The 22,666-nt window shown below is 46.8% G+C and overlaps 1 protein-coding gene and 1 long non-coding RNA gene across 15 annotated transcripts in view; one reads left to right on the forward strand and one right to left on the reverse strand.

The window, feature by feature from the left end:
* The window catches only part of WSCD2 (WSC domain containing 2), a 121,250-nt gene that overhangs the window by 88,295 nt on the left and 10,289 nt on the right, over positions 1-22,666 (forward strand). For all 13 annotated transcript variants that reach the window (XM_017020244.2, XM_017020243.2, XM_017020248.2 and 10 more), the window contains 3 exons: positions 7,157-7,278; positions 9,408-9,582; positions 15,149-15,313. In XM_017020244.2, coding sequence (XP_016875733.1) covers positions 7,157-7,278; positions 9,408-9,582; positions 15,149-15,313 — 462 coding nt within the window. The remainder of the gene's footprint in view (positions 1-7,156; positions 7,279-9,407; positions 9,583-15,148; positions 15,314-22,666) is intronic.
* Positions 1-22,666, reverse strand: part of LOC124903077 (uncharacterized) — a 49,492-nt gene that overhangs the window by 26,621 nt on the left and 205 nt on the right. Inside the window, exons 1-2 of one of the 2 annotated variants that reach the window (XR_007063584.1) lie at positions 16,610-16,701; positions 16,434-16,489 (exon numbers count right to left, since the gene is read on the reverse strand). This is a non-coding gene — a long non-coding RNA (uncharacterized LOC124903077). Of the gene's footprint in view, positions 1-16,433; positions 16,490-16,609; positions 16,702-22,666 lie in introns of those variants that run through there. The other variant, XR_007063583.1, reaches the window with a different exon arrangement.

Below are 22,666 nucleotides of genomic sequence, written 5' to 3' on the forward strand. Positions count from 1 at the left end.
CTTGGAAGGCTCTCCAACCTTTCCACCGGACATCAGGAAGCCCTCTGTGACTTCACACCGTTTCCCCACAAAGTAAAATAGGCCAGACTTCAGGAATATCTTCCACCCAGGAGATTAACTGCTCCTGGAACTGACTTCCCAAACTTATCCCCCTCACTGCACCCCCAGAACACATCTTGCCCAAAGAGGTGCACAGCAGTAGCTTCTAATCCATCTCGGGCCCTTTAAGTCCTCTAAAAATTTCACCTTACTTGGTATTCAGAGCATTCAGTTTAGCCCTCCTCTCTAAGCTGGGAGAGTCAGGGACTCATTAGCAGGTGCTTAAATGTCAAAGGGAGGCCAGTCTCTGCAGAGCTTCCTTCCTCTTCCTACTCTGGCCTCCTAATATCTAGGCAGGCTGGAAGAAATCACATGGAGAAATGCCAGCCTAGGGATTCCACATGGGTCTCCCCCTCTTTTCAGTCTAAGGACAGCTGGCAAGCAGACGGACCTTTGACTGCCCCCTCTCTAGTACCTGCAGCTCACAAAGTTTATCCATGTCCATCTCTGAATGATCCACCCAATATTTATGCCCCCATTTTAGAGATGAGAACATTAAGACTCTGAAATGAGAGGAAACTTGCCCATGGTCAAAGACAAAGAAGGGCAGAGGTGCCAGTGGGTGCCATGTGAAGGAGAGTTCCCCATTTTACAGCTGAAGATGCTGAGTTCCAGAGAGGAGAAACAGAGTCGGGATTAGAGCTCGTGTTTCCTAGTTGCTAAGTCTTCTGTTCCTCAGCCAGGATGGCTCATCCTGAGCCTGTCAGTCCAGGGAAATGCCATGGCTCTCTGGTGTGGTGCCAGAATGGAAGGCCTCTCCTAGGGCTCTGGGCTAGGATGGGTCCCCTGAAGCTCATCTGGAGATGCATGTTAATGTGACCCATCAGTGGACTGAGCCCAAAAGATGGGTGCCCAGCTTGGGGGCAGGGGAGAGGGCACAGCGCTTGGCCAAGGAAGCCTAGAGGAAGATGCATGTGTGCCACCCACAGGCCCTGAGTGATGCCCCAGTGCCTTCAATTATTTGGGGCCATGCTCTTAGAGGATGCAAGGGTGACTCCTGAGGGTGAAGGACCCCAAAGACCACCCTGGGCTTGCTTCAGCTTTCACATACCCACAGTCAGACATGCACACTCCCATACGGAGATGACTTGTATATGAGGTCCACTGTGATGCAAACAACCGGGACAGACACCAGCAGTGTCCCTGGCTGTGGGCACCAGGTGCAAGGGTCCCCAGTGCTCTTGGCATCCTGAGAAAAGACTCCACCTGGGCTGGGCTCCATCAGAGGGACCTACCCATCAAGTTACTCTCTCTTCTTATGATGCATTTCCCCTTGCACTGGGGAAATAAGTATTTTTATCTGAACCTAGGTGCCAGCTGTTGAGGGGATGGTTGGGAAATGTCAAACCCCTGGTGGCATTGAGCTGGGCTCATGAGGGACTGGCTGAAGCCCAGCCTCATCCTCTACTAGAAGAGGAGCCCTCTTCTCAGCCAGCTGGTTGCCAGGCAACCCAGAGAGAGCCCGTGGGATTATTGTCTCCACGTGCATAAACACCTTATGGTAAGACTTGCCCTCCTAGAGGTTGATTTGATGCACAACCACACAAGTTATCTACAGAAGTGCAAAGTCAAATGCACAGGGCCATAGACTCCTATGTTCCCCCATAGACAGACCCACTATGTGCAGATGAGCACGGTCCACAGGATCACATTTGCATTCCCAGAGGTCGGCATCCACATGCCCAGACAGGTGGATCTGCACTCACACTGGCATGAGCACAGTCACACATACACATAGGAGGCACACATCATCACTCACACCCTTTCATACACAGATGCACACTGTGTGCACAGCAACAGATACACATTCAGTGTCATGTCCCACTGCCCAAACAATCTCAGTGCAGCCAGACCCACAACTGCCCTCACACAGCCTCTCCTGCCCCCATTAATGCACAGACACACACAAACACACACACATGCACAAACACCACTCACTTCTTCAGACACGACTGTGTCTTCCCAACACACTGCTGTGTTGGGGGCCTCAGACCCCACCAGGGTAGTGGAACAGGACTCAAGAAAGGACCCACATTACAGGATAAGAGCTGGTGGGCTTGGGATCCCTGCAAGGGTACCCAGGACAACCCCAAAGGGGCCTCCGTTGGCCCCAACCCCCAAAATACTGTCTGTAGCAACCCTCCAAGCTCTAGGATTTCATGATGGTCCCTCAAATAAGATCCTGGTGGCAGGTTAACAATTTGAAGTTGGTTCTAGAGACCCAGGGTCAAGATCTGGACATTTGAGGATGCTTAAAGAATAATCAGACTCCAGTGTCAGGCAACCTCAGAGTGACAGCCCTGACTTTCTGAGTGATTTGTGGTGAAAAGCAGAGTGGACACGAAGGGTGGGAGAGAGAAAATCAATGTCCCACTGTTGTGAAATGCTAAAGCCAGGGGTGGCTTTTTAAAAAGAGACAGCCCAGGACAGTGCAAACTTGGAGTTCAGACATTCCTAGGTTGGAATCCAGATACTGCCACTTGTCAGCTGTATGGCCTTGGGCAAGTCACTTCCCCTCTGCACCTGTTTTCTCTTCTTTATAATGGAGAGAATGAGATCTTCCTGCTAAGGGTTAGGAGGGTTCCATTGGATAAGATATATCAAGCGTTTACACAATGCCTGGCACTTGATAAATATCAAAGATGTCAGACTAACTCTTGCAAGCTGGGTGACCTGTATCAAGCAGTTTCAGTCCTCTGAGCCTTGAGTTTCCTCATCTGTAAAAATGGGAAGCCCCATAGGACCAGGGTGAATGGGAGAGTTCAATGAGACCACATGTGTGAACAGCTCAGCCTACTTCCCATCACATACCACACAACCAGTACATGGTAGCAATAATGATCACAACAATATTACGATTTTTTTAAAGACAAGGTCCCACTCTGTCAACCAGGCTGGAGTGCGGGGGCATGATCATGGCTCATTGCAGCCTCGACTGCCTGGGCTCAAGCAATTCTTCCATATCAGCCTCCTGAGTAGCTGGGACTACAGTTGTGTGCCACCACACATAGCTAATTAAAAATATATATATATATTTGTAGAGATAGGGTCTTGCTGTGTTGCTCAGTCTGGTCTCAAATTCCTGGGCTCAGGGGATCCTCCTGCTTTGGCCTCCTAAAGTGTTGGGCTTACAGGTGTGACTCACTGCACCCTGCCAACATTATATTAATATAAGCATCTATTCATAATAGTATCATTATTATTGGAAGAAGCACAGGCTTTGGAGACACAGAAACCTGGCTTCGATCTCACTCTGTTGTTTGTCAGCTCTGTAACACTGGAAGCCAGCTAGCCTCCCTCAGCCTCCTCAGTTTTCTCATCTGTGAGATGGAGGTACTCATAGCATCTATCGCCTATGGCTGCTGTGCAGACTGAATGGACCCAGAGTTCCCAGCATGGAGCCTGGCATCAGCAGGAACTCAGCAAATTCAAGTGGAGTGGAAAGAGGGAGGAAAAGCCAGCATCTGGTTGCCCGGTGACCTGAGTTAGCATCCGGCTGACTGAGTTTTCTGGTTAAGTGAGGGTTCATCCACAGTGCTTGGGACTTCCCGCCTCATTGCCATAAATCTTTAGCTCAAATGCCCACTTTCCCGGTGGGTGTGGTGACTCACGCCTGTAATTCCAGCACTTTGGGAGGCTGAGACAAGCAGATCACTTGAGGTCAGGAGTTCCAGACCAGCCTGGCCAACAGGGTTAAACCCCATCTCTACTAAAAATACAAAAATTGAGCTGGGTGTGGTGGTGCACATCTTTAATCCCAGGTACTCAGGAGGATGAGGCAGGAAAATCACTTGAACCCAGGAGGTGCAGGTTGCAGGAAGCCAAGATTGCACCACTGCACTCCATCCTCTGGGTGACCTTACAGGGCATCCCTCTCAGCAACCCAGGCCACAAGATGGAAGACTGTCCAGTGTTTCTTTACAGGGCACTAGTGGCATCTGGATGTGCATGTGCTCATTTAGGAGGTGAAGGGCTGTCCTGTACAGAACAGGCATGCACATTTCTGGCCCCAAACTTTCAAGTGCCAGTGGCCTCAAATCATTGGAGCAGGCGTTCCCACACCTCTTTGAATGTTCTCAGGGTAGTAGGCATGAGAGTTACTGCATAGTTTAACTCCCAGTCCTCGTTTATATGTGGGGAAACTGAGGCCTGGAGGGACCACGCAGCAGATCAGCAGCATCCTGACACTATCACCACTACCACTGCCACCTGTCTCACCAGGATAAAGCCAGAGACCCAGAAAGCTAAGACAGCAGGAGTCTGGGGGATGCCTTGGAAATTCATCATTTAACCAAATTCCTAATGTCCTCTTAGTTTTCTTGGCTTGTCACTGCAATGAGCAACTTCAGGCTATCAGGCGCCATGTGGTAGAAAGAATCACTAGGGAGTCTTTGATGGCTAAAATATAAAATTATCATTCATAAACACCTTCCCCCCACCCTTCTACTCAGGGAGTTATTCCATATCCTCTTCTCTGCACATAAATATAAATATATATGTGTATGCTAAAAAACGCTTTTACACTCTAGATAGACCCAGACACCGCTACAGAGAGAGACATATGGTTTCTGCAACTTGCTTTGCTTTTTTCCAAAGGCTAACACTTTGCTTCTGAGATGAGGCTCAATAAGTTTTTGCAAACGATGGGTCCTTAGATTTGTCTTGCAACCTCTTCTCTCGAAGCCCTGTTTCTCTCATCTGTAAAATGAGAGTTTACAATGAACCTTGCAGGATTTTCAAGAAGGTGAGATGAGCTGATGTTTCTGAAGTGCTCAGCAGAGCAGATGACACATAATAGGTATTCAATAAATGGGGTCTGTTCTTGTGCTGATGGTTTTGATCACACTGTGTTAACAATGCCCTTTGTTATATGTGGATGGCTGTGCTTCTGGAAGGGTATATACAACTCAGAATTTGAGAAACAACCCAATTTTAAATGTATATCACCAGCCTTTCAAAAGATTTAACAGTGGCCACTTAAAATTTTTTTTAATAGAGATGGAGGTCTCACTATGTTGGCCAGGTTGGTCTTCAACGCCTGGCCTCAAGCAATCCTCCTGCCTTGGCTTCACTTTTTTTGTCTTTATTACATAAAAATACATATTCATTGTAGAAAAAAGTTAGAAAAGAGTTTTACAAAGAGATGGAAATAAAAATTACCTATATTCCTACTTGATTGGTCAGAGTTCTCTAGGGAAACAGAACCAACAGGATTAAAACCAATAGGATATGTGGATAGATATATTAAGAGATTTATTTTAAGGAAATTGGCTTACGCAATTGCGGGAGCTGGCAAGTCCGAAATTCATATGGCAGGCCAGCAGACTGGAAACTCAGGCAGCAGTTAATGCTGCGATCTTGAGATGGAATTCCTTCTTCTCCAGGAAGCCTTAGGTTTGCTTTTAAGTCCCTCAACTGATTGCATGAGGCTCACCCACATTATCAAGGGTCATTTCCTCTACTTAAGGTCAACTAACGGTAGATGTCAATCACATACATAAAATACCTTCATAGCAACATCTAGACCAATGTTTCACCAAACAACTGGGCACCATGGCCTAGCTAAGTTGACACATAAAATTTATCCTTCACACCTACTGTCCAGGGACATCACAGTTATTAAAATGTTGGTATATGTCTCTCTAGAGATTAATTTTTTACAAAATTGATATTTTATAACCTGTAGAATTTTACATTCTCAGTTTTTATTTAACTTTGTATCTTAAACACATCTTCACCTGGCTAAAATAACCTTTAACACCATTCTTTTCAATGGAATTCCACTTTCAGTAGAATTCCATTGTGTGTTGTCATTCCAGACATTATTGGCACAATTATCTCATTGCTAGACACCTAGGTTGTTTCTACTCCTTCACTTGTTAATTTTTAAAATGCTGCAATGAACATCCCTATTGATAAATCTTTGTGCACATCTGTACTGGATGCTATAGGCACCCACCCAAGTCCCCTTTCCTGTGGTGACTGTTGGTGGTGATCAATGGCTCACAACTGCCCCCTTCTCTGAAAAATAGCCTTGGGCCCAACAGGAGCAAGCAGCCCCTCCCAGGAAGTTACGCCCCAGCCTGGGGGACAGCCCATAGCCAAAAACTGACTGACATTGGAAGCTAGGATAGACAAGGCCAAGGCAAGCCAGCCCCCTTTCCTTAAGGTGGGGCCAACTCTGTAGTGCAATTTCTCATCCAGAGCCCCCTCCTGATCCCTGCCGTGAGACCAGGATGGAGGTGGCACCCAGCTGAGATCACATCCTCACTTAGTTCTGTCTGGTCCTGCCTCCCGCTTTCTTTCTCTGAGAGCACACCTTCAATGAAACATTTGTCTCAGGCTCTGCTTCAGTAGCCCCAACCTAAGACAACATCTCTGAATATTTTCTTAAGGGATGACTTCTATTGAAGATTTGACAATGGGCTCCAAATTTTTTATTGTGTAGCTGCACGATTTCTGGGTTAAATTTTCTTAAAGGGATTGCCTCTGACATGTCAGTCCCTTGCAGCTTGTCGGTGCCCAATACTGGGTAGGTAGAGACTTCTGAGGCCCAGGACTTTTCCCGTAAAGCCCAGGGCAATGAGAGGGAGAGGAGAACCCTGGTAGTAGTGAGTAAGGACAGGACAGCCCCAGAATCCTTGCTTCCCTCAGTCCTCAAACACTCAGCCCTGATGAGATCACAAAAATCCTCCGTGTACTTGATCATTTCCCTGAATGGGGCATTGCCATGGTTGGGAATGAGGAAGTGAGGCATGGGAATCTGACAAAGAAAGGGGGATAGCATGGCCCAGAAAGAATCTCATCTCAGCGACCTGGGTTGTTGACAAAGGGGCCAGGGTTGAGGAGAACATTCTTTGATGTATCGAGCTCATTGACTGTGAACAGGCATGTTCAAGAACAGAAAACATGGCCACTCTTTCCATCTCTGCTTTGGCTTGCTCTGTGACCTTGGGCAAGACTCTTGCCTTCTCTGAGCTTTCTTCAGAATGTGGTTTTCCCAACCAGATCTGACTCCTTGTATATCTGACTAGTCCTCTTCTCTCTGGCTCTTCAGATGGAAGTGCAGTGTTCCGGGGCTGCTTCCGCAGGCCCGACAACCTTTCCCTGGCCTTACCCGTGACAGCTGCCATGCTGAACATGTCTGTGGACAAATGCGTGGACTTCTGCACTGAGAAGGTGAGCACAAGGTGGGGCCCATGGAACTCAGGGGGAGGGAACCATGCAGCAGAGCTGCAGGAACCACATGCTTGGCTGGAGAAGCAACAGCTCAGTCGGGATAGATGTAGTCGTTGACTGGGATCTATGACGTGGGAGAGGGATGTGACCATTTCACGTGGATCTAAGGGGCTGCAGCTACACAGAATAGATTTTCCTGCCTTTAAGGAAGTGAGTTTAATACTGACGAATACTTAGGAATGAGGGTTATTAGTCCATTTTCATACTGATACTGCTATGAAGAAATATCCCAGATTGGGTAATTCATTTGAAAAAAAGAGATTTAATGGACTCACAGTTTCACATGGCTGAGGAGGCCTCTCAATCATGGTGGAAGGCAAAGGAAAAGCAAAGGCACGTCTTACATGGCAGCAGGCAAGAGAGCGTGTGTACAGGAACTGCCCTTTTTAAAGATGTCAGATCTCATGAGACTTATTCACTATCATGAGAACAGCATGGGAAAAACCCACCCCCATGATTCAGTTACCTCCCACCAGGTCCTTCCCATGACACATGGGGATTATGGGAGCTACAATTCAAGATGAGATTTGGGTGGAGAACACAGCCAAACCACATGAGGGGTGACATTTGAACTGGGCCTAGAAGCATGAAAAAATTACCAGGTAAAGGTAAAGACAGTCCCACCTTGGGACAGAGGGAGTTCCCCACTGGTGGAGGTGTGTGAGCAGAGGCCAGGCAGCAGTGTCATTCAGAGCTTTGGCACTGGATAGCACTTGGGTTGGATGATCTTTCTTCGGCCTAAGGAGCTAGATGTCTGACTGTTTATGTTTCCTCCCTAGCCAGGTTGTGAACTCCCGGAGGGTAGGGGCTGTGCCTTGTATATTTTGTGCCCCCCTTCAATACCCCCAGCACAGAACTGGGCACATAACTGGCACTCAGCGATGTCCAAGTAGCTCCAGCTTTTTCTTAAAATGAGCTAATGACTCAAGTGTCCAGAGGAGAACCATCCCTCCTCCACCACAAAAAGATGGTTGGGCATTTCATTCATTCTAGAGAGTAGTTGAGGGTAGAGAGGTATAAATGCTTTAACACTGAGATGAAGCTTTCTCCTGCAGGACTGAAAGAGAACTGAAAAAGAAATCCCTTTCTCACGGTCATGCAATACACCACAGTAAATGCCCCCTTGGTGTGATGGTGATATGGGACCCACGCTTTGGGAAAAGCTGTCTGAGTCTGTTCTCAGACTCAGTGGCTCTGAGTCACACAGATCCACTGGCTAGTGGATCCAGCCACACAAGTGTGACCCTGGTTTGCTACCAGATTAGTCTTGGACTGGCTACCAGGGAGAACTAGGGGTGGTGGGTCCAGTTTAGAAGCAAATTGGGCAAAAGACAGACCCTTGCCCGCCAGATCTCAGGTCCATCTTGCCCCCACTTAGCTGTTCAATAGAACAAATAAAGCAATCAGAAGCAGCTCTCCCAACAAAGACTCTGGGAACACAGGGTATCAGTATCTCCTTTGGCTTAAAAGAGCAGACTCAGACAGCTTTTCCCAAAGCATGGGTCTCATATCACCATCTCATCAAGGGGGCATTTACTGTGGTGTATTGCATGACCACGAGAAAGGGATTTCTTTTTCAGTTGTCTTTCCAGGAGAAAGCTTCGTTTCAGTGTTTAAGCGTCAACACCTCTCACCCTTAACTACTCTCTATGCAGGAAAAATGGAGCCAGCCCCAGGCTCACAGTCTTGGTTGGCCAGAGTGCCTAGGTAGAATTTCATCACTTGTTTTGTTTCTATATTATGTGCATTTACAGTATGGAGATGTATGGAAGTGCTACTTGTCCACAAGTACTATTAGTGGTAGCCATACAAAGTATCCTTTTAAATTTAAGTTTCAAAAAGTGAATCGACTTAAAGGAAACGAATAAGTAAACAATAGTACAGTAGGTGCACAGGTAGGGCAAAATCACAAAAGCAGGGTTTGTGGATGGAATTTGGGGACCCTCAAGTTAAGGGAGACTGACAGAGAAGACAGTGGTTGAAATGCAAATCCTGTTCTCCATTTGGAGTCTGAAGCTGTCCAGGGATTTAGCAACTCTCTTCCTCTTCTTCTCCCACTCCATCCCCAGGAGTACCCGCTGGCAGCTCTTGCAGGCACCGCCTGCCACTGTGGGTTTCCCACCACCCGATTCCCGCTCCATGACAGAGAGGATGAGCAGCTCTGTGCCCAGAAGTGCAGCGCGGAGGAGTTTGAGAGCTGCGGGACTCCTAGTTACTTCATTGTGTACCAGACACAAGTCCAAGGTGAGCTAGGCCCTTCCCCAGTGGACCCCAGATGCACTCCCAGTGGCTTCCCTCCCAGACGTGTTCCTGCCAGTCCATCCCACACAGCCTGCAGCAAGGAGAAAACCATGCAAGCCAGAGGGCAGGGCTGATGAACTCCACCAGGCTTAGAGTTCCTGGATGGGCAACAGAAGGAATTCCCAGGGTGGGAAGCGTTCTGATGACCCATCTCTATCCCTCATCACTGAGGACCCTTGGTGGCTCCTGTAGTGAGACTGAATGAGAAGAGAGACTGAGTCTCCCACTGGCTGCAACACAGATTCACTGTGTTATCCCGGACAAGTCATTTCCCCTTTCTGGGCCTCAGTTTTTCCATCTGTAAAATGAAGCTGTAGACTGTTGGCCTCCAGTGTTCCTTCCAATTCTAAGATTTTGTCATTTTATCTATAAGTTCTTCCTTCTTCTCTCTCCCTGTCTCACTCATCCTTTCCACTTCTAGTCTTCTTCCTTTGCTAGCGGAATCCACACTTACTGTTATCTCCTCTTCTGTCTCCTGGGGCTACCAGACATGATGATAATGATGGTGATGATGATGATGATGATGATGATGGTGATGATTATGATGATGGTGATGATCATAATGATGGTGATGATTATGACGATGGTGATGATGATAATGGTGATGATAGTGATAAGAGTGACGCTGATAGTGCTGATGATAGTGATGATGAAAGTGATGATGACGATGATGGTGATGAGAAGGAGGAAGAGGAGGAGGCAGCAACACTTGGAGTTTCTTGAGGTCTTACTCTGTGCCAGACTCAGTGTTGCATCCTTCATATACATGTTTTCATTAAATCCCCTCAACTCTCTATGAGTTGGGAACAGTCATTATGCCCTCTTTACTGTGGGGCGGGGGAGGGGATTGAGACTCAGAACAGTTGAGGAACTTACCTTAAGTCATACTGTTTATAAACTTTCCCAATAAAACCCGTTTCTCCTGACCGAGGTATCATGAAGGGTGGGTGGCACTTGGATGGGGATTGGGGGGCATCCCTTGCTAGGACACTCAGCCCAAAGGAAGCCCCTGAAGGATCACCTCAATATCTGAATATATTGACCATCTACTATGTACCAGTCCTTATGCCGAGCCTCATCTCATTCAGTGATGTGAAGTCCACAGTAAACCTATGATCAGGGCAGTATCATCCCCACTTTACAGATGACAGAACTAAAATTCAGAGAGATTGGGAACTGGCCACAGTTATACATCTACAAAAGCAATTTGTTTTCAGGTGTCTGACTCCAAAGCCCCTGCTAGAAACCTTTGCCCATGCTCCAGTGACACTCCCCACAGTCTGGAGAGCCAAGAAAACACCACTTGGCTAGACCTCCTCCTTCTCATTTCCCAGTCACCAAGCTGCCATATGTGGTAGAGCAGGTTGAGCATTGCACTGGCACAGCCAACAGAAAAAGTGGTGCCTAAAAGCCAGCCACATGTTGTGTGCCCTGGATGGCAGAACATCTGTCCAGAGGAAGGAGTGGGCACCTTTTTCTGATTTGCACAAAAGTGCTGTATGAGCTAGTGGCAGCCCCACCAATAGCCTGTCCCTGTTTGACTGATGGGGTACCAGTGGTGATCAACTGTGGCTGTTTCTATGGTAGCTAAAGTCCTTCTGAGAGCCTAGTGAGCATGTGGCTCTTGGACCTATTTACAGTCCGATGGGGAAGGATGGGTTTTTGTTAGCTTTCGGGGAAGTGCTGGTTAGTCTGTGCAGAGCTGTGCTGCCTTAGCCTGCAGGGGAAAGTCATACACAGATTAATTACCCTGTGATCATGAATGGCTTTGAGGTGGCCAGAACAGACACTGGAGCCTTTTCAACGCAGATAACAATTCCCTAATTGATGAATTTGCTCATTCCCAGTGCCCTACCCCCAGGCCATTACTAGGGCTTCCATTTTGCCACGTCACTCTTGCAGTTTCTACACACTGGGGAGGTTTGACAGTTATGTGGCTCATCAGCCTGCCAAGAGCCTGGCCCACCAGGACTGACATTTATTGAGCACCTACTGTGTGCTAAGCCCTGATGCCCCTTATGGGATAATTATTGAACACTTGCTCTGTGCCAGGCTCTGTCAAATCTTTTACCTGCCTTAAATCATCTAATCATCCAAACAGTCCAGTTGCATAAGCACTGTTATTACCATTTTACAAATGAGGTAACTTGGCACAGGGAGGTTGAGTAACTTGGCCAAAGTCAAACAGCTCTGACATGGCAGTGTAGGGATGCAAACCCAGGCAATCTAGGTCCCAAGACTGCACTGTCAACCCTAGCTTCTCAAAATACATTGTGAAAAATTCACACTCATTATCCCACATAATTGTGTAAGGTTTATTAGCCCTGTTTTATAGGTGAGGAAACTGAGGCTTAGTGAGGGGAAAGCCTTGTTCCATGTCACACAGGTAGGCCATGACAGTTCTGGATGGAAACCCAGGTCGGTCTGATTCCAAAACTGCATATAATACTGCCTGCAACAGTTGCTTAATGTATGGGGCTTAGGAACCAAATCAACTTTCTTTATAGCATTGAAAACCACAACTTTTACCTTCGGGTTGGCCTTGGCCTCCCAGGAAATATTTGAATAGAGAATTCTGTTTTGGGGGGACATTAAGGAGCCTGGTCTGCCCCACCCGACCTATCAACCCAACATTTTGCTCTGGAAAAAAAAAAAAAAAAAGTCAAACCTCCAGAAAAGTCGGAAGAATTATGCAGTGAACACATATATACTCATTCCATAGAATTTTGTGACATACATTAACTTTTGCTGTATTTACTTTATTGTCCATCTCTCCTTTTCTCCATCCCTCAATCCTTCCTAATTTTTGGTGCATTTCCAAGCAAGTTGCAAGCATCATTATACTTCAGGATGTTGTCATTGGTTATATAATTCAATATTAGCTTTCTGAAGTAACACTTCCATAGAGTGGAATGCACATATTTTAAGTGTACTAGTTAATATCAACTGGCTAATCCACTCCCCTATCAAAATATAAAACATAACCATATTCTATAAAGTCCCTGTGTCTGGGCTCCTTTTTGCAGTGTATTCCAATGAAAACCATTCCCTGAAGCTTACTTGGCTTCGACACAGATGTCCCCTGGTTTATTTTATCCTAAATCTGATCATCTCAGAACAAAAATTAAACAGGCAGGAGAAGAAAGCTGAACCTCCAGCTAGCAGGAACAATACCAGGAACCACAATCGATTCTGTGGGCAATTCCGGCATGTTTGTCTCAATCTAACACTGCATTCATTCAAGAATTTCATTCTCCTAAACAACCTCAGGCTGTCATCGCTGCTTAATAGTCCCATTTTATAAGTGAGCAAACTGAGGCTCCGACAGATCATTTTTTTCCTATGTCACCCAAAAAGTAAGTGGAAGAATTGGAATTTAAATCTAGGACTTCACACCTCTCCTTCAAAGGGCTTTTGTGTGAAATTAATGAGGCTCACAGTAAGACTTCAATAAATAGCAGCTAATGCAGAACAGGGAAGACCCTGGTAAAATCTTGGGAAGGAATTACCTAGAGGAGGGCAGCGCTCTGCCCTCATGCCCGAGTAATCACGTGAGGTGAGCTTGTCTCTTGAATTGAGCATGGGGCAGTCACTGAGGACCTTGCCCATAACCGGTCCAGGGCAGTGACCAGGGAAGAGGCCAAGTGCAAGAGCCAAGGAGTAGATAGAAGGGAGGAAACATGAAGGAATGTGGACAACTCTGCTGGCAATGTGGCGGTGATGGGGTGAAGGGGAGCTGGTGGTCGCTGGAAGGGGCTCTTTCTAAACGAGGGAGCTATTTGTTCCTGTTTGAGTGCTAATGTGATTGAGCCAGCTGAGAGAGAAAAAATATTGGGGTTTGGAAGGAGCAAAGAGCTTGGAGAAGGAGGGAATGGAGAACACATACATGAGCAGGGGATGGGTGGCTTCCCCAGAAGAGGGAGAGATGGAGGTGAGGGGCCATGGGAGGTGAGGGAGGTTTGCCTGCCTTCCCTTGGATGATAAATAAGGGTGGAGCTCATCTGCCCCAGGCTGAAGAAGGCAGCACTGAGACCTGGGGCCTCCAGGCCTGGATCTGGGATTCTCTCATCTTCCTTTCTGCTCCAGCGCCCCCTGCTCTGAGCCTTCCCTCAGCTGCCTTTGCAACTGAGGGAACCAAAAGAAAAGCTTGTGCTTTCTTAGCTCCCTCTGGGGTTGCAGTGGGAGGTGCTGGGGCTTGCATTTTCTGTTAACTCTGATGGTAATGGCATTCTGCAGGCTCTGAAAAGCCAGAGAATCAAAAATATCCAAATGGTACTCACCACATCCCAACCCATTTTACAGATGAGGAAACTGAGGGCTAGAGAAAAATAATATCTATGCCTTTTGAGCACTTTAGAGTATTAGCATATTACATGCTTTGTTTCATTCAATCCTTACAAGAGCCCTACAAAATAGATATTATTGTTATCCACCCAGTCACCATTCTACCCATTCATGCATCCGTCCAAGAAGCAGTTATTAAGTACCTGCTGTATACCAGATATTGTGGAAACTTTTGGTGAATCAGCAAAACACAATATGGGCAGGGTTTCTGACCACACGACTAATTGCATGCATAATTATCTGAATTGCAATTGTGATCAACAATATGAAGGAGATGGATATAGTAATGCACTAATGATAGCCCAGGGAGTCAGGAAAAGAGGAGAGACAGGAAGGGAGGAAGGAAAGAGGGAAGGAAGAAGGAAGGAAGGAAGGACAGACGGATAGACAGTGGGACCCATTCAACTGAGAGCTGAAGAACAAAAAGCAAAGGCAGGTAGGAGGCAATGGAGAGGGAACAGCATGCATGAAGGCACTATGTCAGGACACAGCAAAGCACAGGAGAGGAAGTACAGAGAGACCAGGTGGCTGGCATGTGGTGGAGTGGATTAGAATGAGCCTGTGAGTTTGCAAAGGCCAACCATGTGGGCTTGGAGGCCAAGATAAGAACCCTGGACTGCATCCTATACTCAAAAGGCATAGATATTATTTTTCTCTAGCCCTCAGTTTTCTCATCTGTAAAATGGGTTGGGAGGTGGTGAGTACCATTTGGATATTCCTGATTCTCTGGCTTTTCAGAGCCCGCAAAATACAAGAATAACAAAAAATACACGACGGATGCCATTGACGGTTTCGATCTGGAGGAAAGGGTAGGGGTGAATGGGAAAGACTTGCTCTGCTGGGGGGAAACTGGGGCTGGAGAGAAGATTCACCCTCCTAGCTGACTTCTATTGGATCCCTACTATGGGCTAAGCACTGTGCTTATCCCTTTCCATCATTATCCCATTTAACACTCACCTCAACTCTATGAGGGAGGAACCATCTCCCTCATTTTACAGATGGGAAAGCTGAGGCCCAAGGAAGCTTTCCCATGACCCACGCAAGTGTCCTGTGCCCTTGATCACCTGGCTGAGAAGTGGCAGGGGTGTGACTCATACCCTGGCCCTTTCAGACAGGCTCCATCTGCCCCTGGTGTTGACCTCTGTCCATGCTCCGCCCTTTTCAGACAACCGTTGCATGGACAGAAGGTTCCTGCCAGGCAAGTCCAAGCAGCTCATTGCTTTGGCCAGCTTCCCAGGTGCTGGCAACACGTGGGCTCGCCACCTCATTGAATTGGCCACAGGCTTCTACACTGGCAGCTACTACTTCGATGGCTCCCTCTACAACAAAGGTGAGGAGATGGCAGGGAGGGCAGGGCAAGAGGTTCCCTGGGCTTGGGAAGGTCCCCACTTGGAGGGTATGGGAATACTCCTCCTTGAGTATCTACTGTGTGCCACTCAGCTCTCCCAGGCACACTTTTTGAGACTCACTGCATGCTTGGTACCCCCCCACCTTCCTTTATGCCCCACAAACATTTCTTAAGTCATGTCCTGGATACTCCACTAGCATCCATTCAATAATTGACATTTGTCAAGTACTTATCCTATGCCTGGTACCTTTCCTCCATTTAGGTTACAACAAACATTTCTTACACACCTACTGTGTGCTGGTACCTCATTACAGATGTTTACTGACCAGCAACTCTTTGATGTAATAGAGGTACAAGAACTAAGTTCACTTTGGGGACATTTATTGAGCACCTACTATTCACCAGGTGTCCTCTCCACATTTAAGTCGACAATATTCGCTATGCAGGGTGCTCTATTTTCATTCCATTCACAGATGTTTACTGAGCACCGGAATGTTCTGGATGCACTTCCTAAGTTAGGTGTCCCAACATGCATTTGTGGAGCACCAACTGTGTGTGAGGCACCTCATGTAGGTTGAGATTGCCAAAGATGTTCTCTTGGCACCTAGTAGGTGGCCAGGTGCTGTATTCTTATTTAACCCTGCATAGAAACCCTGTGAGGTAGGATGATGATGTTCTTTCCCAGAAATGAAAACTGAGGCTTGGAGAGGAGAAATAACTTGCCCAAAGTCACACAATTTTTTTTTTCAACAAGCTGATTGGGGATTGCATTCTAGTGTTTCCCAGTTTCAAAGCCCACATCTTTATTACTCTATCACACAGGTAAGAAATTCCTGGGTTTCTTACTGAGGAACAAGAAATCATGGATGAAATGCCCCTTGGGCATGAAGCCCTCTCCTGGGCATGGTGGGAGACATCAGGGAAGCAAGGCCTCCTCCTGTGGGAGACTTTGCATCTACATGTGGAGCAGCCCTTGGCCATGGTCTTTGTGTCTGCAAACCAGCTGAAGACCACTTCCTGGCTGTGTGACCTTAGGCAATTTACTGTACCTACCTCTCTCATCCTGTGTCCTCATGCACAAATTAGAGATAAGAGTACGTACCTCATGAGGTTGTTTCAAAGCAGGGGTGTCTCATCTTTTGTCTTCCCTGGGCCACGCTGGAAGAAGAAAAATTGTCTTGGACCACACATAAAATACACTAACACTAATGATAGCTGATGAGCTAAAAATAAAATAAAAATAACAAAAAAATCTAATAATGTTTTAAGAAAGCTTACGAATTTGTGTTGGGCCGCATTCAACGTCGTCAATAAAAGTTGGCTCTGGGTACTCTGGTCTGGGTGCCAGGCACTAACCAGGCACAGCTTGGTGCTGATAGAGAGTCATCCGCTAACCCTAGCTCAGGGAGAGCCAGGGGGCATGTCTTTCTCAGGGTGAGACACAGGAGGGAGGCAGAGACTGGGGGAGAAAAGCAAGAAGGGTGAAGAGGGACAGGCTAATGGTTGGAGTTGGCAACGGGTCAGGCAGGGGAAGCTGCTTAAGAATCCTAGCTTTTTATATATTTATTAATTTCCAGTTTTGGCTTGAGTGATTGTTTATTAAGCACCTATTACTTATGAGGCTCCATGCTGAGGGTATTACATGCTTATATCAGGATTTGAACCCAGGGCTGGCTGTCAGCAGTCCCTATGATCTTAACCCCTATGCTGTGCTTCCTTGTGGGAGCTGCTGGGAAGAGCATTGGGATATTCCAGAATCCCTTTGGCTTGTCCTGAAGCAGTGGCTGTGGAATGCAAGTTCAGAAAGGATGCCATGGCTGGCCCACATTCTCACTGTCCTGGCTGTGGCAGCAACCCTACTCATGCAATCCCAGAATGTCACAAACAGAAGGGTCCCTCAGGATTATTTAGTTCAGGGATCAAAATTGGTTTCATCTAGTGTTGATTCCAATGAATTTTTGCTTAAGGATGATGTGTTAAGAAAGATTCTGAGGTTCTTCTATTCTCTCTCTGAAACAAAATGCCTTAATCTAGTAGTGACGCCTGTTGAAAGTAGAGAATGGGGAATGGTGGCCTATACACCAAGTATTCGCCATCTGATCTAACTCAACCTCCTAACTTCAGAGAAGAAGAAATGGAATCTTAAGATGGAGTCAAGAGATCTGATTTTCAGTCTGAAAGTTCACTCTGATACTTATCAGCTATGAGAGCTTGTGCAAAATTCTTCACCTCTCTGAGCTTTAATTTCCTAATCTATAATACAGGAATGTCAGTACTGAACTCAAAGATTTTCCAAAAAATATAACAAGATAATGTTTGTGAGATAATATGTGTGAGCCTGTGGTGTAAAATAGACATTTTTTAAATGCTATGTAGCCAGGACAGTCATTTACTTAGTCAAAGGCAAAGGGGGTTGGTCTCTGACTACACATTAGCATTGCCCAGGGAGCTTTTAAAGTCTTGACACACAGGCGGCATCTCAGACCATTTCCATCAGACTGTCAGGAGCGGGCCCAGGCATGGGTGTTTTCTATAAGCTCCCAGGGGATTCCAATGCAAAACCAGAGCCAAGACCCCTGGCCCTAGACAAAGAACCCAGCATTCTTACTTCCAGACCCAAAACATTCCAAAAATTCATTTTTTTCCTGTGTTTGTTAATACTCTAGTGTGGGCAATATTAATTGGTCATTAATGGAGTGAGACACCTACTAAAACTTTAACTTGATTTAAAAGAAAAAAAAGAAAACATAACCCCCCTGTGGCAATTCCCTGCCTCAAGCTGTGACTAGTTACTGGATGTTTCCTTCATTCGTACTGAGACAGGCAGGGGGTAGTGGGCTGGTCACAGGCAGCTGAGGCTTTGAATGTAGTTGCCTTTTCATTAGGAGCTTTAAAATCCTTCCCGCAGCCTGAGCCCTTGCAGTTAACATTGAACTCTCCCTGGGAGCTTGGAGTTGGCAGTAGGGGTATAGACAAAATGAAGAGCCGCTTGCCCCCCAACAGCATCAGTCAATCTAGCTAACCCTGCCCAGTCTCTCCCCACATCACCTTGCAGCTGAAAGATGCTTAACTTCATGAAATCCTTTGCCGCATTTGCCACACTGGGGCAAAGTTCTGCAGCCCCTTTCAGACTCCAGGTATAATGAGCTCTTTGTAGTTCAAGAATGCACTGGAGATTTGCACGTGCTATCATCTGTACAATGAGCTGATCCCCTGGCAACTCTTGCTGATTTATCTAAGTCTTTTAGAGTTTCTTTTCTTCTGCTACCAACTTGCTGGATGGCTGGACGCATGTTCCCCTGCCCCTGGAGACCTCAGTTTCCTGCTCTGTGAGAAGCATGTATCAGATGGGTGGTCTCCCAGACCCTCCTAGGCCTGACAGGCTGCCTGACATTTTCTCTCTTTCCTCCACATTTTCTGCAACCTGCTCTTCCCTCAGTCTGGAAAAGGGTCCACTCCACCAGTGAGCTGGTGAGGCAGGGAGGGAGGGAATTAATGAGTGAATGAATGAAGAAATGTAGGGACCTCTCCCTCCCAGAATCCAAATGTCTGTCCCACTTGGGTCTTTCTTCCCTTTCCCTCACTGGGTGCAACTGCCATTTGCAAAGCATGGTTTTCTCTGTCTCTGTGTCCATCTGCCATCTGGCGCTCTTTCTCTCTCTCTCTCATTCTCTCTCTCTCTCTCTAATTGTCCTTTCCTTTCTCTGCATGTCTACCTCTGCCCAGTATGTGCCTCTGCCTCTCTGTGCTTCTCTCTTTGTGTCTCTCTCTGTTCTCTCTCTAGGTGTCTATCTCCCCTTCTCTGTTTCTGTCTCATTTTATTTCTGTGTCTGTTTATCTCCCCCAACTCCTGCCTTCTCCCCGACTTTGTCTCAGTCCCTCCCTCTCTCCAGGTAACTGTGTCTTTCTCTCTCACTGTTCCCCTTTCCCTGGGCTTCATCCCCCCTCTCCCTGCCTCTCCCCATCTCAGAGACCTCATTGTCCTAATGCAGACTCAAGCTCTGCGGTATGTGAGGAGCCAGAGCCCTGACTTCTGAAGGAGGGGAGACAGAAGAGGGAAGGGCAGGATGATGTTCTCAGACTGGTACATCAGCCTACAGAGTTGGCAGCCTCTCAGCCCAGCTGATGCAGGACAACAATTTCTGAGGATTTCCTTGTCCTCAAAACAAATCCCAGTGTCCTGGAGAACCACCAGCCTTCAGGGGTGTCCATGCCTGGAGCCAAGATGGGACTTTCCTGTCCCAGTAAACTCTAGGGCATGCAGAGATGTGCAGTATCTGCCACTTCCCTTCTCTGTTCCTTAGCTCCCCTAACTGAAAAATGCACGAGCAACTATAGTAACAGAGGTTTGGAAGAGAGAAGGGAAAAACATGTCTTGTTCTCTCTGTGGCCCTGAACAAGATTGTTTCTCCAAATCCTGGGACAGTTGGGCAGCTCCTTAGAGTTTGAGGGTCACATGGGTGCCCAAGATAAGCTGATATTTTGGTGACTCTTAAAAGATAGGATTTAAATATATCATGTTTACGTCATGGAGATGCTGGATCCTGGGTGTTAAGGACAGTGGAGAGGGGGACACCCTAGTGGTGGAGTCCGGCAATTCCGCTCTGGCTCAAAGCTTGCATCCATGATTCCCTTGCAGTTACCTAGACAGGCCCTCTTTAGAAGACAATTGAGCAACTATCTGTTGTTCCTCAGGCAAACCTATTCTATGTGCCTTCTCAAAAGTTCCTTTCCAGACATAGTACTCTTCCCTCTCTGGGAGACATTCTGCTAAATGGAATTTTCTCTACATTTGCAGTACTCCTATAGATAAACTCCTCAGGCAACCAGAATCTGGAATATGAAACAGATCTTTCCCAATCTTTATAGCTTTTCTAGGTTTTTTGTTTTTGTTTGTTTTTAATCTTGATAAATACTGTGCTAAATTGACCCCATCATGAACAAATAGAAATATTGTAACTTGGGTCTCCCAATGCATGGAGCTGATTGAAAATAGTTTGACCATCCTTCCATGTTTCTGGCAATTTATTTTCCTTGTTAAGAATCTGTGTGAGTTCTGGTATACCCCCTGCCTGTGTTTTCCATTGCTGTGCTTATAGTGAAATAGATTTTGGTAAAGATAAAATGAAACCATGGATGGAAAGCCCTTTGTCCATGTCATGCAGAGCTCTACCAGAATACATGACACGAAATTATATCCAGGGTTGCCTTGCATAAATGTTTATGTCTGAAGCTGTCTCTCTCTCTCAAGCTCCCACATCCTATTCCTCATTCTCCTCTGGAGGAGATTTTTTCCATGACACTGTGCTTCCCATTGACCTCAAAGGCTGTGGGTTAATATTTTCTCATGGGCACGGGCCAGTGCTAATTTGCAAAGCTAGGCTTATCCCAGGCAACTTAACTTGGCAAGTCCCAGAATGGAACCTGACTGAAGAAATCACATTCCATTCTTGGCTCTTCTGCTCAGTGGCCATGTGAGAAAGGCTGCACCTCTATGGACCCCTGTCTCCAGGAACAGGAGCAGATATCAAGCCAGTCTTCACCTCCATCCATCTTAAAAGCCAGAGCACAACAGGGAGGGAAGAAGCCATACTCCAAGGTTTGATGATACGGGGCGACTTCTCAGTCCATGATTTCACCCTAAGTCTTATTCTGCATTAGCTGCCATTTATTGAAGTGTTACTGTGGGCTTCATTGACTTCTCACAATGGCCTTGTGAGGGAGAAAGTGCATGGACCCATTTTACAGATGAGGAAAACTGAGGCCCAGAGAGGTGACATGATATCCAGAATGACTCATTGGGTTGTAAACACAGCCAGTATCTTGAAGGCTTACTACAATAACATTTCTACCTGGCCTTAATACCATATCCAAATGCCTTAGCTTGCATGAGCTAAGGGGCACTTAGAGGGTGAAGGACACATGTGTGCCCAGAGCCCAGGTTTGTATTTCGGCTCTGCCTGTTCCATAGCTCTGTAACCTGGGCGAGTTATTGGACATCTCTGCCTCAGTTTCCTCATCTGTAAAATTCCTCATAGAATTGTTGAGAGGATTGGATTGCTTAATATATGTAAAGGGCTTAGACTAGTCTCCAGCTGCACAGAACTTCTCTCAGCTCCTCAGCTTTTGAAAGGAAAATCTGATCATGCCCCTCTTTTTTGCTTAAATCCTCTTAAGGGTTCTCCAGTCTTTCTGGTCTAGTGCTGGCCTCTTCATCACAGACCCCACAAACCTCTCCAGCCCCATGCTCCCCTCTTGCTACCTGCATTCTCTCTGCAGTCACTCATATGTGACAGATTTCTTCCCACCCACCACAGGCCCTTTGCACCTACGTTTCCCAGCACCTGGCCCTCCCTTCCCAGCTCTCTTGAGCTAGTAAGTTTCTCCTCATTTTTCAGTTCTATGCTTAAGCATCTCTTCCCCCAGGAAACCTTTCTGGATGCCACTTGACTAGGTCAGTGATTTTGGTTGAGCTGACTGGGCTGCCCACCTCCAGGCTGCAGGTTAGGACCATGTCTATTCTATGTGTCTGTCATCATCTGGGACCAATCCCCCATCCCCCACCCCCAGGGCATGTCCTTTCATGGTGATAGCAGAGCTCCCTCATGGAGAGTAAGCAGAAACATATGATGTGTCTTGAGACTGTGCTAAAGACCTACTTCCGCCCTCATTCTATGGGCCACAGGAAGTCACATGGCCATGCCCATCATCAGTAGGGTAGGGACGCTGACTCCCCACAAAGAGCAATCACCCAGTATATCACTGTCTGGCCCCTCTCACAGCACCCAAGCCTTTTCTCTTCTTTTCTTTTTTTGTCAAGAGACAGGGTCTCACTCTGTCATCCAGGCTGGACTGCAGTGGCATGATCATAGCTCACTGCAGCCTCAACCTTCTAGCTCAAGCAATCCTCCCGCTTCAGCCCCCCAAGTGGCTGGGACTACAGGTGCATGCCACCATGCCTGGCTAATTTTTTTTTAATTTTTTATTGTAGAGAATGGGGTCTCACTATGTTGCCCAGGCTGGTTTCGAACTCCTGGGAGCAAGCTATCCTCCCACCTTGGCCTCCCAAAGTGCTGGGATTACAGGCGTGAGCCACTGTGCCTAGCTAGCACCCAAGCATTAATACTGCCCTTTTGTAACACTCACCAGGGCAGTGGTTTTACATTTATTTGTGTTCACTATTTGAATAATCTAACTCTCAAAAACAGGAAGACTCGTGAATATTTTTGAAGACCCGTGAATGTTTTTGTAAGTCATTTTAATCCCGGGGTCCTAGCACAGTGCCTGGCACATAGTAGGTGCTCAATAAATACGCGAATGACTGAGTGAACAAAT

This window comes from Homo sapiens, chromosome 12 (assembly GCF_000001405.40).
Source record: "Homo sapiens chromosome 12, GRCh38.p14 Primary Assembly".
NCBI classification, from domain to species: Eukaryota; Metazoa; Chordata; class Mammalia; order Primates; family Hominidae; genus Homo; species Homo sapiens.